The sequence below is a fragment of the Homo sapiens genome, chromosome 6, assembly GCF_000001405.40.
Source record: "Homo sapiens chromosome 6, GRCh38.p14 Primary Assembly".
Classification (NCBI taxonomy): Eukaryota; Metazoa; Chordata; class Mammalia; order Primates; family Hominidae; genus Homo; species Homo sapiens.
Window position 1 is genome coordinate 105,880,610 of NC_000006.12, and position 12,813 is coordinate 105,893,422.

The 12,813-nt window shown below is 42.7% G+C and overlaps 1 long non-coding RNA gene across 2 annotated transcripts in view, besides 1 other annotated feature; it reads right to left on the bottom strand.

Annotated features, from left to right (window-relative positions):
- Nucleotides 1-12,488, bottom strand: part of LOC105377923 (uncharacterized) — a 63,333-nt gene extending 50,845 nt beyond the window's left edge. Inside the window, exons 1-2 of one of the 2 annotated variants that reach the window (XR_001744275.2) lie at nt 12,417-12,488; nt 4,417-4,544 (exon numbers count right to left, since the gene is read on the bottom strand). This is a non-coding gene — a long non-coding RNA (uncharacterized LOC105377923). Of the gene's footprint in view, nt 1-4,416; nt 4,545-12,208; nt 12,377-12,416 lie in introns of those variants that run through there. The other variant, XR_001744274.2, reaches the window with a different exon arrangement.
- Nucleotides 4,025-5,224: an enhancer, noted in NCBI's record as "BRD4-independent group 4 enhancer chr6:106332509-106333708 (GRCh37/hg19 assembly coordinates)". NCBI's record gives its function as "activates an origin of replication core promoter dependent on BRD2, P300/CBP, MED14 and CDK7 cofactors, and independent of BRD4, by STARR-seq in HCT116 cells {active_cell/tissue: HCT116}" and the evidence as "EXISTENCE:reporter gene assay evidence [ECO:0000049][PMID:35650434]".
- Nucleotides 12,489-12,813: the final 325 nt, after the last annotated feature.

Below are 12,813 nucleotides of genomic sequence, written 5' to 3' on the forward strand. Positions count from 1 at the left end.
CAAGCAACCTTTCAACTTCATGGCTTATTAGCAAAAAGCCTTTTGAAGGCTTCTTTTCAAAAGCTGCAAGTACCCAGTAGAGGCCATGGTGATATAAAAAAGGTTGTTCTTCTCTTAGAAGGAGAAACTTCAAAGCAATCCCTGACATCCCAGAATTCGCTGCTTTTCCAGTAAATATCTGTTTGGGCCAGAGAATTTCAAGCTTTTGGATAAATTCAAAGATGAAGAGCCTGTATTTGGCGCAGCATTTCTATTTGTGTTCTGCACCAGAAAACCTCATCAACTGCATGTATATAACATCACAAGCTGATCACTCAGAGTCAGAGGGGCAAACGTTCACTTTGGCTTTGCTGAGCCTTTCCTTGAAGAGCCAAATCCAGCAAGGACATAGGCAGGCTCCTGAGGCAGGTGTGATGGAGGTGAACACAAGGCGGCAGGGGTAGGAGAGGAGTCTGTGCTCAAAAGGAGGGTTCATTGCAAATTCACTGGTGGGCAACCTTGTGGAAAGGAAGGTTTAAAGTATTTGACTCACAACTTTTAAGGATGCAAGAAATACTGTGAAGTATTTGCCGTATTAATTATGAGTCATTTATATGTATTTGTTAGAGGACTTATATTAAGAAACCGGAGGGTTTTCATTTTGCGGGGGTGTTTTTGGTAATTTGTCCCCCCTGCCAACCCTCACTCATCAGATGTCCTTTCTGTGTCCAGCCTGGGCTCCAATTTCACCATCTTTCACAGACTTGCCACAATTTTCCCTCCTAAGCTTCAGCAGCAGCTCAGGTGGACTATTACTGGTTTTCTGCTGGCACAAGTTACCTTCCATTCTATAGAGATCAATCTCAAGCAAAGCCCTTGAACAACATCTTTTCGATAGGGAGAATTGTTCACTTGTCCATCACTGACTGCTGCCCTGGGTGAGATCTCTAGCTCTCTGTCTATAATCACAACAAGCACATCATGCACACTCTTCCTTGTCGTATGCAAAGTAAAATCTCAAGATCACTAATGCAAAAGAATTCAAGGGCCAACCAAAACCAAGAGAGTAAAAAGATACTGTCTTGAGGAACAAAATGGAGGCAAAATATTGACAGAGTGGTGACATTTATTGGAAGAATTGAGATTTAATTGAAATGAGCACAGAATGAGAAGTTAGAAGCCCATCCTAACCCTGCTTTTGCCACTAACTCACTGGGCAGTTCACTTCCCCTTTGCTCGAGTCTCTCCATTGTATAATTTGAATTATCCACCCACCTATCTGAGATACGCAAAGTTACCTGTTTTGTTTATTCAAATACATATTCGTACTGAATTTTATATTTGGTTAGTGTGAAAAGCAGTATTTTTCAAATATGTATTCCTTAGGAAGAAATTAAGTCTCCAATCTTCTTAGTGTCTAAGGAATAGGGTCACCTCGCAATTACAGGGTCAGTAGTGGTCCTTTGCCCACCCCTGGGACCCTTAAGCCTGGACAAATAATTTTTTTATTTTTTGCAGCTAAGAAAGTCTGGCTTGTAGTTACAGATTAAATCTCATAGGCATCAGTACTTGATGATGTGACCGTGGGTTTAGAGTTCAGTTGCTGAAACTCAACTTCAGTCAGTTGAGCCAATGGGAATCATGCTGTAGACAATGAGCTCATGCTATCCAAATCCATCTGAGAACAATTGATCAAGCAGAACACAAAGGAGCAAATGAGCTGGCCTGGTTTGGGAACAGAGACTACTCATCCATGGAGGTTTCTCTTTCCCATCCAGTTGACCCATCTTGGATCAATTCCTTAGTGAGCTCAACTTCAGATCAGAGGAAGCTAGTTGTTTTTAAGGGAAGCTCCTGCTGGAAACACTCTTGGAGAGTGCTCTTCTCTTCCAAGGGAAATTTCTATACCAAGAACTGAGGCTGACTGCCCTGAAATAGAACACACTCTTGTCTAAATACAGCTGGCAACACTTCTTATTCCCTGGCTTGCCTCCTCCTAGTCCCTGTACACAACATACCTTCCTATTACCACAACTCAACATTTACTCCAGTTGAAATGCAGCCAGGTCGTTCATAGCTTTCTTAACATGGTACATTCCAGGCTTTTGCTTACAAGATCCTGGGGCTGTTAGCAGGGTCTTAACAAACCATCTCTTAAGGTAATCACAAACCATCTCTTAAGGTGATCACAAACCATCTCTTAAGGTAATCTCCATTTTCTGTTGATCCTTTTCAGTTTCCCTTTCACAGGAGAAGTTTCCTCACCTGGTCCCCAAATTTTGAGGGCATGCCTTCTAAGCCTGCAACTTCCACAAGGGACTGACTACACACACATACCCCAGGGGTGCCTCTGAGGACAGAGTCAAAATGCATTTCATATGCATTACACACAACTGGTCATTTGTAAATGATTTACACCGTATCATAAGAGAAATCAAACCCACAAAGGCCATAATTAGCTTTATCTCAGGAAAGAATGGTATATTGCATAGTTCCCAAATGACACAGTCCATGAACCAGTTGATTCAGATCAATACAATTGTGTGTGTGTATACGTATATACATTCCTTGATCTCCACATCAAATCTACAAATTAGAATTTCTTTTGGTAAGACCCAAGAATCTACATTTTTTACTTTCCTGGGCATTTCTTATATTTTTCTGGCTAGAATCGGAGCTCTGCTACAACCTGGAACATGCACTGGGAAAGTTACTAAACCTCTCTGCGCCTTGGTTTCATTTTCTGTAGAATGTTTATAATAGCTACCCCTTAGAATTTCTGTGAGATATAAATGAGATAGTATGAGGGAACTGCCCAGAACGAAGTAGCTACTTTAGATATGGTAGCTATCAGTAAAATTATAATAAAACAGCAATGCAAATGAGAAAGACCCTGTGTCTGGAGCAGAAAGAGCCAAGCCAAGAGGGACTGAGCACAAGAGTGGGCAACACACGGAGGGGCAGATGCAGCTGAAGGTGCCGGGGCTCCATTCTCCCAGTAGGCAGAATGTGGCATCCAAGTGTAGCCAAGCTGCCAGCATACGAAGCATGACAGGAAATAGTAGTGCTGTCCCAGCTGGAGGGAGGATTTTAGCACAGGGGATTCAAGAGCCTCAGAAATCCAGACCCACATGCAGCCTCAAGGAAGCAGGTGACCAAGCCCTGGTTACCCCACTGGAATTCCACAGCAGGCTTCCAGTCCTTCACAGTCAGAACAAGGGGTCATATGATGCAGGCTGGTTCCAAAGACAGGGACTCAGGTACACAGAAGAAGGTGGACACTCAGATATCAGTACTCAAGAAGACAGACCTAAAGCTACTCAAACTCCTCCAGAGGGCTTCAGTCTAAGTTCTTGTCATAAATTGGTTTGACTCAGGCAAAAAGCCACACTAGGACCACAGCAACAGAGGGGCTGGATGGACCCAGGAGAAGGTCACTGGAGTCATGACTATCAGGGAGCAGCTGGCACAGCCAAGCACCTGAGTTGGACAAGTCAAGTGAGGAGGCTGGGGGTGAGGAGGCCAGACAGGTGGCAGAGCTGTGTCATGTGAGAAAAGAAAGGCCTTCTCCTTCCCCTGTTGATAGAGCCTTCAAGCATTTCTTGCTTAGCTTCTTCCTCCTTCCCCGTTATCTGAAGAGAGAAAGACCAAAACCACAGCAACAAGTTCTCTAGGGAAAAATTGTCAGAGAAGCTACACTGCACTGGCCGGAGGCTGGCCAGGGCCATGTGACAAATCGGTAGGTCCAAGGCAGAGGGGAGAGGGGATGGAAGAACAAGACACCCGGTGTTAAGTGAATGCAATAGAGAGTCTGGGGAAGAGACAGGAGAGTGAGAGGCTCCCCAAAATGTGGTAGCACTAGAAAAGCGGGCAGAGAATGCCAAAGAAGTGATGTGAATCATGTAGCGGAAAACTCTCAAATGTTAGCAAGAGTCTCAAAGAAAGATGAGAATTCCTGCTTGTGCTATGCTTCTTTAAATGCAGCTCTTTGAGACTGGCCCACGCAGGGCCCAGCTGCCTAACAGCTGCAGTTAGTGGGAAGTGCAATGCCGGGTACACAGTGTAGCCATGCAAGACCTCCCTCGTTATTACATCTAGACAGCGAGAGCCAGACTGGTGGAGAAGGAGTACAAAAAGAGCTAGGCACCCCCGCACAAGGCTCCTAGGCTGTCAAGGCCTAACCTGCCCAACCTCAGCCCTCCTCAAAGTGCCTGCCACATCCAGTCCCATTGCACAGCTCCTTGCTCCTCCCCATGGGATACCAGGTGTTTTCATGCCCTCGGGCCCTCTGAGTGCCTGCCCCTCCTCAGAGTATTAAACCCCTCTAGGAGGTATTAGTGCTGCTGACTTCAACCTGAGCCTGCCCAGCCCTGAGCCACTCCATCCTGCCATCAGCACCCCTAGTCTTGGCTTCTTCACCCACCATTTTGTTCATACCTTCATTCCAGCAACTCATGGAGACTTCAGGAGATGCTGCCTCCAACAGATTATGCTCCAGTAAAGGTGATTCTGCCTCAGTCGACCAAATAATTCATCAGTCAGGAGTCAGGATGAGCGTCAAAGGCCTGCAACAATAGGAGACTTGATTCCAGACCCAAACTGCAGACCTAATTCCAGAAAAATGGAGATAAATTAATGCAGGAAAGGGAGGTAAACTGTTCCAGAAGCCTTCACTGGTTTATTCTGGTGAGGGAGGGGAGGGAGAGGGTATGGGCTACACAGGGTTCAGGATTCTCAAAAGAACCCCACACAACAGATTTGGGGTAATAAGAATCACTCTAGGCCTCACTCACTGAGTGACGGAGGTGCTGGGAATTTCCTGCCCCATCAAGCTTGGCTCATGAACAGAGCGGTTTAGATCCTCTGTAAAGTGAGTTAGAGTCAGGGAAATGGCTGTGAGTGACAATGGATGGCAGGATCTGAGCACCAGGAACTCCAACGGGCAGAGGTTGATAGGTCGGTCACAGCGAGGATCTCTCAGCAGTGGGAAACCCGGTTGGAAGTGAGGGGAGGGATGAAATGTGTGTTGAGCACCTGCCAACTGAGGCAGGCTGGTAGATGCTCTGTATATGTCATCTGGCGTGATTTCTACAATAACCCTAGGAAGCTTCTTTCTATTTTTCAAGCTAAGATAACTGAGACTTGGTTTCTCCTAGGTTGCAGCTGATTTGTGGTGGGGCCTGGATTTAAACACCTACATGTCTGAGACTAAATCCTGGGCTTGTTCCCACACACAGCACCGGTGAGCATGAAACAGACACCACAGAACAATGCAGAATCAGCCCTACAAGTCTGTTGTGTGTGAAACCAAAGGGTATCTGGGACCTGGGAAGGTAACCTGGGAAGGTAAACTGGGAAGGGGATGGGTGGCGAAATGAATGAAGGAAGGTAAAACAAGATTGGCCATGTGTTCATAATGATTGAGGTGAAAGAGAGCTGATCCCAGCATTCAGAGTATGATCCTATTTGTGTACATTTTTGGAATTTTCCATAATACAAAATAATTGATTTTAAATGTGCCATGTTAACAGTCAGAACACACCATTTCCCTGGTCTTTCTAGCCACTAAACAGATGCTCTTGGGTTTTGTGCTTACTTTTGCTTATAAAACTGAGCATTTCGTTTAACAAAGAATCTTCACACTGTTCTAGGAATTTGCTTCTGTATTGGGTAAGCACACACATTAGGCACAGTTCCATCAAAGAGAACGTTTTCAGGAACTTCTTGTTATATGAAGTAAGAGATGTGAGATAAAGCCTTTCCTCATTTTAATGTTAAGTGAAAAAAGCAGGATGTAAAACCACATTTGAATCATAAAATGAATTTTATTTAAATACATACATACAAAAAGAAATGCAAAAAGTAATAACTGTGGAATCAATTCGCTGATTTCACAAACTTGGCGTTGAACATGTATTCGTTTTAAGAGAAGAAAAATATCTTAAAAGAAGTTTGTTTATGGACTTCAGGGACACAGAAGTGGATTAATCAATAACTTTGGTCTATAACACTCTGTCATTGGTCTGTCGTCATTGGTCTGGCAGTGCTTTCTCAATTATTAATGACAGTTACTAATAATAGAATAATGATCACGTGCCAGGCAATGCATAACTTATTTCTAGCCTTTACAACAATTCTGAAAATCAGATGTTTTTAATTCCCATTTTGTTCATTAAAAAAAAAAAAAAAAAGACTCAAAGGACTTAAAAAAAACTTGACCAGGGTACACAATGATTTTGAACTCATGTTTGCTGACTCCAAAGCCTGTCGGGATCCACCGCCCCTTGCAATCCCCTCTTAAGCATTTACATTCTGGAGTGGAGAAAGGGCGCTAGAAGCCAACCCTAGAAGAGAATGACTAGAGGTTTATGTTTCTGACTGCGGCTTGGGTTTCCTCTGCCCTTTCCTGATTCATATTGCCCAGTTGTCCTGATCTGGCCAGAATGGAGCTGATTAATCACCATCTGGACAAGAAGACAGGCTAGGCTGTTCTTCCATGCTAAGCTGAGAAACTGAATCCTGGTACCCTGATTTACACATGAATTGGTCACTTCTGATTTATACTGTAATGTGGCTATTCTCTCAAAATAACATTCATACAACTATTTGCCTATGATTTAGTTATGGGCCTTAGAAGGGAGAAGCCTTCCCATAAAACGCTCTTTCCTTTAGGGGAAATAGGCCCAGATCACCTTTCCCTCCCTCTGACAGCAGAAGCCACTGTGGTCAGCCTGGGAACTGTGAGGGAGGACGAGTGCAGGGTGTGGGTTAGGGCCTCTAGAGAGCCCAGAGGCAGACATCAAAACCAGGAAAAAGTTGGAAACCTGGGCCAGATGCTACGTAGAGGTTCCAGACAACTGCCTAGATGGGCTACTGGTGCTGGTGGCCTCTTGAGTTAAGTGGGCAGGTTGTCCAGCTCATTACCAGTCACAAAGAGCATGACCCCATCAGCAAGCCAGGCCTGGAAGTTACAGCCTCTGAGTGGTCGCGAATGATTGTGAGGCCTAAGGCAAACCTAATTTATTTTCCTGCTGCTGAAACGTGGAGACACCTGCTCCTTGGCAGGAAGGTTTCTTGTTCTATGAAGTATGGTGAGCAACTCAATAAATGGGATTATATACATAGCCCTATTTTACAACAAATTCCCCCAGAAATGGCCTAATCATTTCCCCTGGTGACTAACGCTGCCCACCACACACCAATTCCCCTGCGGTGGGTTAACCACTGTGGCAGCACAGCTGTGTGCAGCTCTCACACCTAAACGTCCCACAGCAGGGTTCTCTGCTTGATTTGTTTTCCAGGCAGTCGGGGACTTTAATGAATGCTACCTATTCTTGGTCTCTTCTTTGTTTACTGAAATTACAACAACCTAAAGAACTTCTGCCCTCCTCAGTTATAATAAGAATAGGTAGGGATTGGACTTGGGAGGGAAAAGCCCAGGAGAGTGTTTGGGATCACTGTCTTCCTAGGCTGGGCCGGGCACAGTGGCTCACGCCTGTAATCCCAGCGCTTTGGGATGCCGAGGTGGGTGGATCACCTGAGGTCAGGAGTTCAAGACCAGCCTGGCCAACATGGTGAAACCCCGTCTCTACTAAAAAATACAAAAATTAGCTGAGTGTGGTGGCAGGCCCCTGTAATCCTAGCTACTTGGCAGACTGAAGCATGAGAATCGCTTGCTTGAACCTGGGAGATGGAGGTTGCAGTGAGCCAAGATCATGCCACTGCACTCCAGCCTGGGCAACAAGAATGAAACTCCATCTCCAAAAGAACAAAAAAAGTGACACCCAACAGGCTGTGCATCTCACAAAACCAAATCATCTACCTTTGCTAAGCAAGGGTAAAGCAGGCCTGAGTGGGATAGAAGTTAATTCCTAAAAATAGTTATTGCTAAAGACACTACAAACTGTAAAGGGCCTGATTCTCAGATGCCAGGCAAGGAGTGAAACCTCAGCAAAATGCTTAGGTTTGTTCGGTTTTTATATTTTAATGATTCAAAAATTAGTAGCCGTATGTCAAGTTAGTTTACCTTCAAAAGCACCTAGGCTTTGTGTATATATGGTTTTGGCTTATGTGAGTATTTTTGGTTTTGTTTTTTGGTGGTGATTGTTGTTGTTGTTAGTATAAAGGAAAAATAGTTGGGGAAATATGTATTATATCTTATTAAACTGCGATTATGAGAAATATTCTGAGACTCCACTGACGTGGTTGCAGCTGGTTTCATTGAAGCCTAATTAAAATGCCAGTAATACACAATCCTGCCCCACTGAGCAGAAATCATGGCCAGTTTGCTGTACAATATTCATAACAACAATAGGCAGATCATTATCACAAATGTTTTGAGTGAAGCCCCCCAACCTCTATTTCAAGGTTTACAAAAACCTATAATTTTCCAGGCAGTGTTAACCACAGAGAAGCCAGGCTTAATTACAGAAGAAAAAAGAAATCAGCAAGTGAAAACATGGCTCAGACTGCTGGACTCCTCAATCATAGAAGCCAGGGGCACAAAGCTAGATATGGTTATGAGCCATGACCTCAAGGAGGCCACAGTCTCCTCAAAGGGGTTAAAGTGATAAAAATCTCGGACTTAAGTCTCAACTTGGGTTTCAGAATCACAAAAAGCTGATGGAGAAATAAATGATAAATGAACTCCAGACAAAAAGACAACATGAGTGGATGAACAGAAGGAAATGGGGAGAGGAAGTTGTACATAAATCCCTTTGCTGAAGTGCTAGAACTAGTTAAGTTAACGGAGATGATGCTACCATTCAACAATATATGGTGCCCCACTATACCTAGCATTATTTTAGTAGTAGCAATTAAAATGATGTTATGTCTGCCCTAACAGTAATAGTTAGCACATAAATATGCTAATTGAATGTTACACAATATTCTGTATACTTTACATATGTTAATTCATTTAATCCTCAAATAACCCCACAGAGTAAATGTCATTATTATCCCTACTTTACAGATGAAGGAATGAGAAGATAGTAATTCATCCAATATTATTCAGCTAGTAAGTGTTGGAGTCAGGATTTGAACCCAGGCAATCTGGCTTTAGAAAATGTGTTTTCAACCACTATGTTATTCCACTTTCTTATAAAAATAATTATACTTAAAAAAATACATAAACACTGTACTCTAGTTGCTAAATTTCTTGCTCATGGGGATACAGGTTAACAATTTTGAAATTGCTTTACAAATGTTGAACAAATAATAAAATGGATGATGGTCAGTGTTGGAGAGGGAGTAACAGATAAACAAGAAATGATGGCTAGTATAAACCTGGTGGAACTGAATTATAGTCAGAGATATCAGAATAAACTCAAATTTAGTTTAATATATATGTGTGTGTGCATGTGTGTGTATTCCTATATGGATGGATAGAGACACACAGATGGATAGAGTCAGAAGTAATTACAGATATAGGTATCTATGGCTATGTGCTCACAGATTTCCTAGCTCCGTTTGCTGACAGGGTCTGGAAGCAATGAGATCCCAGGAGCAATGAGCACACCTACCACCTAGATAGTGGCTTCTAAATACCATTTTACAATAAAGGGAACCAGAGTTCCTTGGAGAAATTGCTAATTGTAAGACTGGGGTAAGGAAAATATAAGATGTACCTGGAGCATCTTATAGTACCAGAAAATAAGGAAGTGCTTAAAAAACAAAAGGACAGGGGCTTGTCAAATGGACGCAGGAACCAGACTCTTTATAAAAACCCATCAAGAGCTTTCCATTACTCCTAGGATCAAGATGAGTCTCTAGAGCACTTCAAAAATTTAAAATCTCAAATGTAAACAAACAAATGAATAAATAAAAGCTAGCCTCCATATTTCATGAAAAGAATGAGTTTCTGAGACAGAAAAAGAGCTCCCAATGACCAAAGCTAGAACAACTTAAGCAACAAAATAATAATGAATTATTACTCAAAGTATAAAATAAACCTATGTACGTTTATACTGATATAAGTAAATAATTGAATAAATCAATAAATGTGGGAGAAGAGACAAATTTTCCTTGTGGAAGAGCTCTAAATAATGTGTGTAGACACTCCACCCCAGGAGGTGAAACTTACCCCTTTCCTCCTCCCTGCTTGGGGATGGGCTAAGTTTAGTGACTCACTTCCAAAGAATACAGTGGAGAAGTGGAAAGATAATGACCTTACAGTGGAGAAACCTGCCTGGCAAATGCTACCTTAAGCAAATTATGATGGTTAACATCCTCAGGGATAACATGTGGATATCATGTACCCTGTCACATGATCTGACAAAGACACTCCACCTGTATGATTTTCTTTGCCAAAACCCATAACCCCAGTCTAATCATGAGAAAACAGACAAAGACAGATTGGGGACATTTTATAGGATATCTAGCCAGTACTCTTCAAGACTGTCAAGGTCACAAAAAAACAAGGAAAGACTGAGAAACTGTCGCAGACCAGAGGAGACTGGAAGATATGATGACTAAGCACGACATGGCATCCAGGATCAGATCCTGGAGCAGAAAGAGGACATCAGTGAAAAAAAGCTGGTGAAAGCCAAATACAACCCGGAGTTTGGTTAATAGTAATGTACCTATATAAATTTCTTTGTTTTGACAAATTTACTGCAGCCATATAGGATTTTAACATTAGAAGAACTGGGTGATGGAAACTCTCTTGTGCTATCTCTGCAACTTTTTTGTAAATCCAAAATTATTCCAACCTAAAAAGTTTAAGAAATGACTATACTCTAAAATAGGCCATCCATGCAAAATAAAAGGGTAACTATATAGAATGCCAATGAAAGGAAACTAGAAATAAAAGCACAGCAATTTTTAGTTGTCTGCTGCCCAGAACTACTGATAAGACTGATGTTTCTTAATTCTTCACAAGGCACTTTGGGTGGAACGTTAAGCCCACATCCACAAATGCTTATTGGGTACATACCATGTGTAAGGCAGTGACCTAGACACTAGGGATGCACTGGAGAACAAGACGTGGCTCCTGCCTCCAAAGAACTTTCAGTCTGCTTGGAGAGGGAGGGAGAGAGAAAGAGAGAGAGGAGAGAGAGAGAGAGAGAGAGAGAGAGAGAGAGAGAGAGAGAGATCAACACAAAATAAAACACAGCATAAATGCTGCCCAGGAGGTAATTTCAAGACAGTAGATGCATACCCAGGAGGTACGTCTGACCAATCCAGTGTCAGGGCACCATGTAGGACAGAGCAGTCCTCTTGGAAAAATTCATGAGTGTTCTAATGTGCCTTATGACCATCACAAGGGCCCATGGTGATGGTTATAGACACCAACCTTCTTCTGACAGCATTAAGTGCATTTGGAAAATACAAATCTAATCATGTCACCTCTTTATAAAACCCAAGAGCTTTCCATGACTTCTAGAATCAAGACAAAACTCCTTACTCTATGTTATGGTTCATTCATGTGTCAACTTGGCTAGGCTACAGCACCCAGTTATGTAATTGAACACTAACCTACGTGTGGCTGTGAAGGTGTTTTACAGATGTGCTTAACATCTGCAGTCAGTTGACTTTAAATAACTAGAGTAACTTCAAGTAATAAGTTATCCACCTTGATAATGTGGTGGGCTTCATCCAATCAATGAAAGGCCTTAAGAGCAACAACTAAGATTCCCAGAGAAGAAGAAATTCTTCATCAAAAAAGAAGAAATTACACGTCAAGATTGCAGCACCAGCTCCTGCCCGAGTTTCTAGCCTGCTTGCCTGCCAGCCTGTCCTACAGACTTCACACTTGCCAGTTCTCTTAATTACATATTTATATGATATATAATACATATTATAGAGCTTATTGGTTCTGTATTTATATATAAATTGTTTATATACTATATATATTTGTATTAAGTATTATTAATAATATTACACACACATACACATATATATCCTACTGGTTCCATTTCCCTGGAGAGCTCTGACTGACACATCATGGTCTCCAGGCTTGGTGCAGTCCAGTTCTCACCCTTCCCACCAGCCACACCATCTACCCCAGTCCTCCTTGCTTTGTCTCTTCCACTCACACCAGCTTTTTCTCATTCTAAGTCCTTTCAACCCATCCTGTCCTCTCCTTTCACAAGCTGTTCTCTCTGCCTGGATCACTCTCCCTCCTTTCCTGATTAACACCTACTCATGCCTCAGCTCAACAATTGCTTCTTCAGGGATCCTCCCCCAGCCTCCCAGTGTCAACCCCACTTAGCACAAGATTTCAAAGCACCTCACACCACTCCTGCAGAGCTGGATAAGTTGCAGCTTCCGTCTTTCCTACATGTAAGTTCCATGAAGGCAGGAACCAGGTCTGGTTGGACTCATTATTTTCTAACTGCATTCCCCAGCACAGTGCTTGGGACATAAAAGGCTCTCAATGAGTATTTGTTCCACGAATGTCAACACAGATGTGATAAGAGCAGAAAACAGTCCCTCACCACAGGCACAGCCACTGAAGTTCTTGCCAGGTAGAATCCAGTGGCCCAGTCCTTTTGATGACTCATCAAGTTGAAACTCAAGGTCAGAAAAAAGGGGAACTCAGAGAGGCAGTCAAAGCAGACAGAGGGAGGGGGCTTTACTTGCCAGAGACAGAAATGTCTCTGCAGATGGGCTGGAGGCGGTCAGTGTGGCTACAGCCTCACATTGATACTGACTTCTCCAAAATACCACCTGCCTCTAAACTCAAACTGGCGTTTATGTAATGACATTTCCTACTTATTACCAGCTGCCAAATGTTGAAATTCCCAGAAGCACCTTTCTAAAGTCTTAAATATCAACTCTAGCCTATTAAAGAAGAGAAAAAGACAAAGATGTGTTATTACCAGGTTTCTTTTT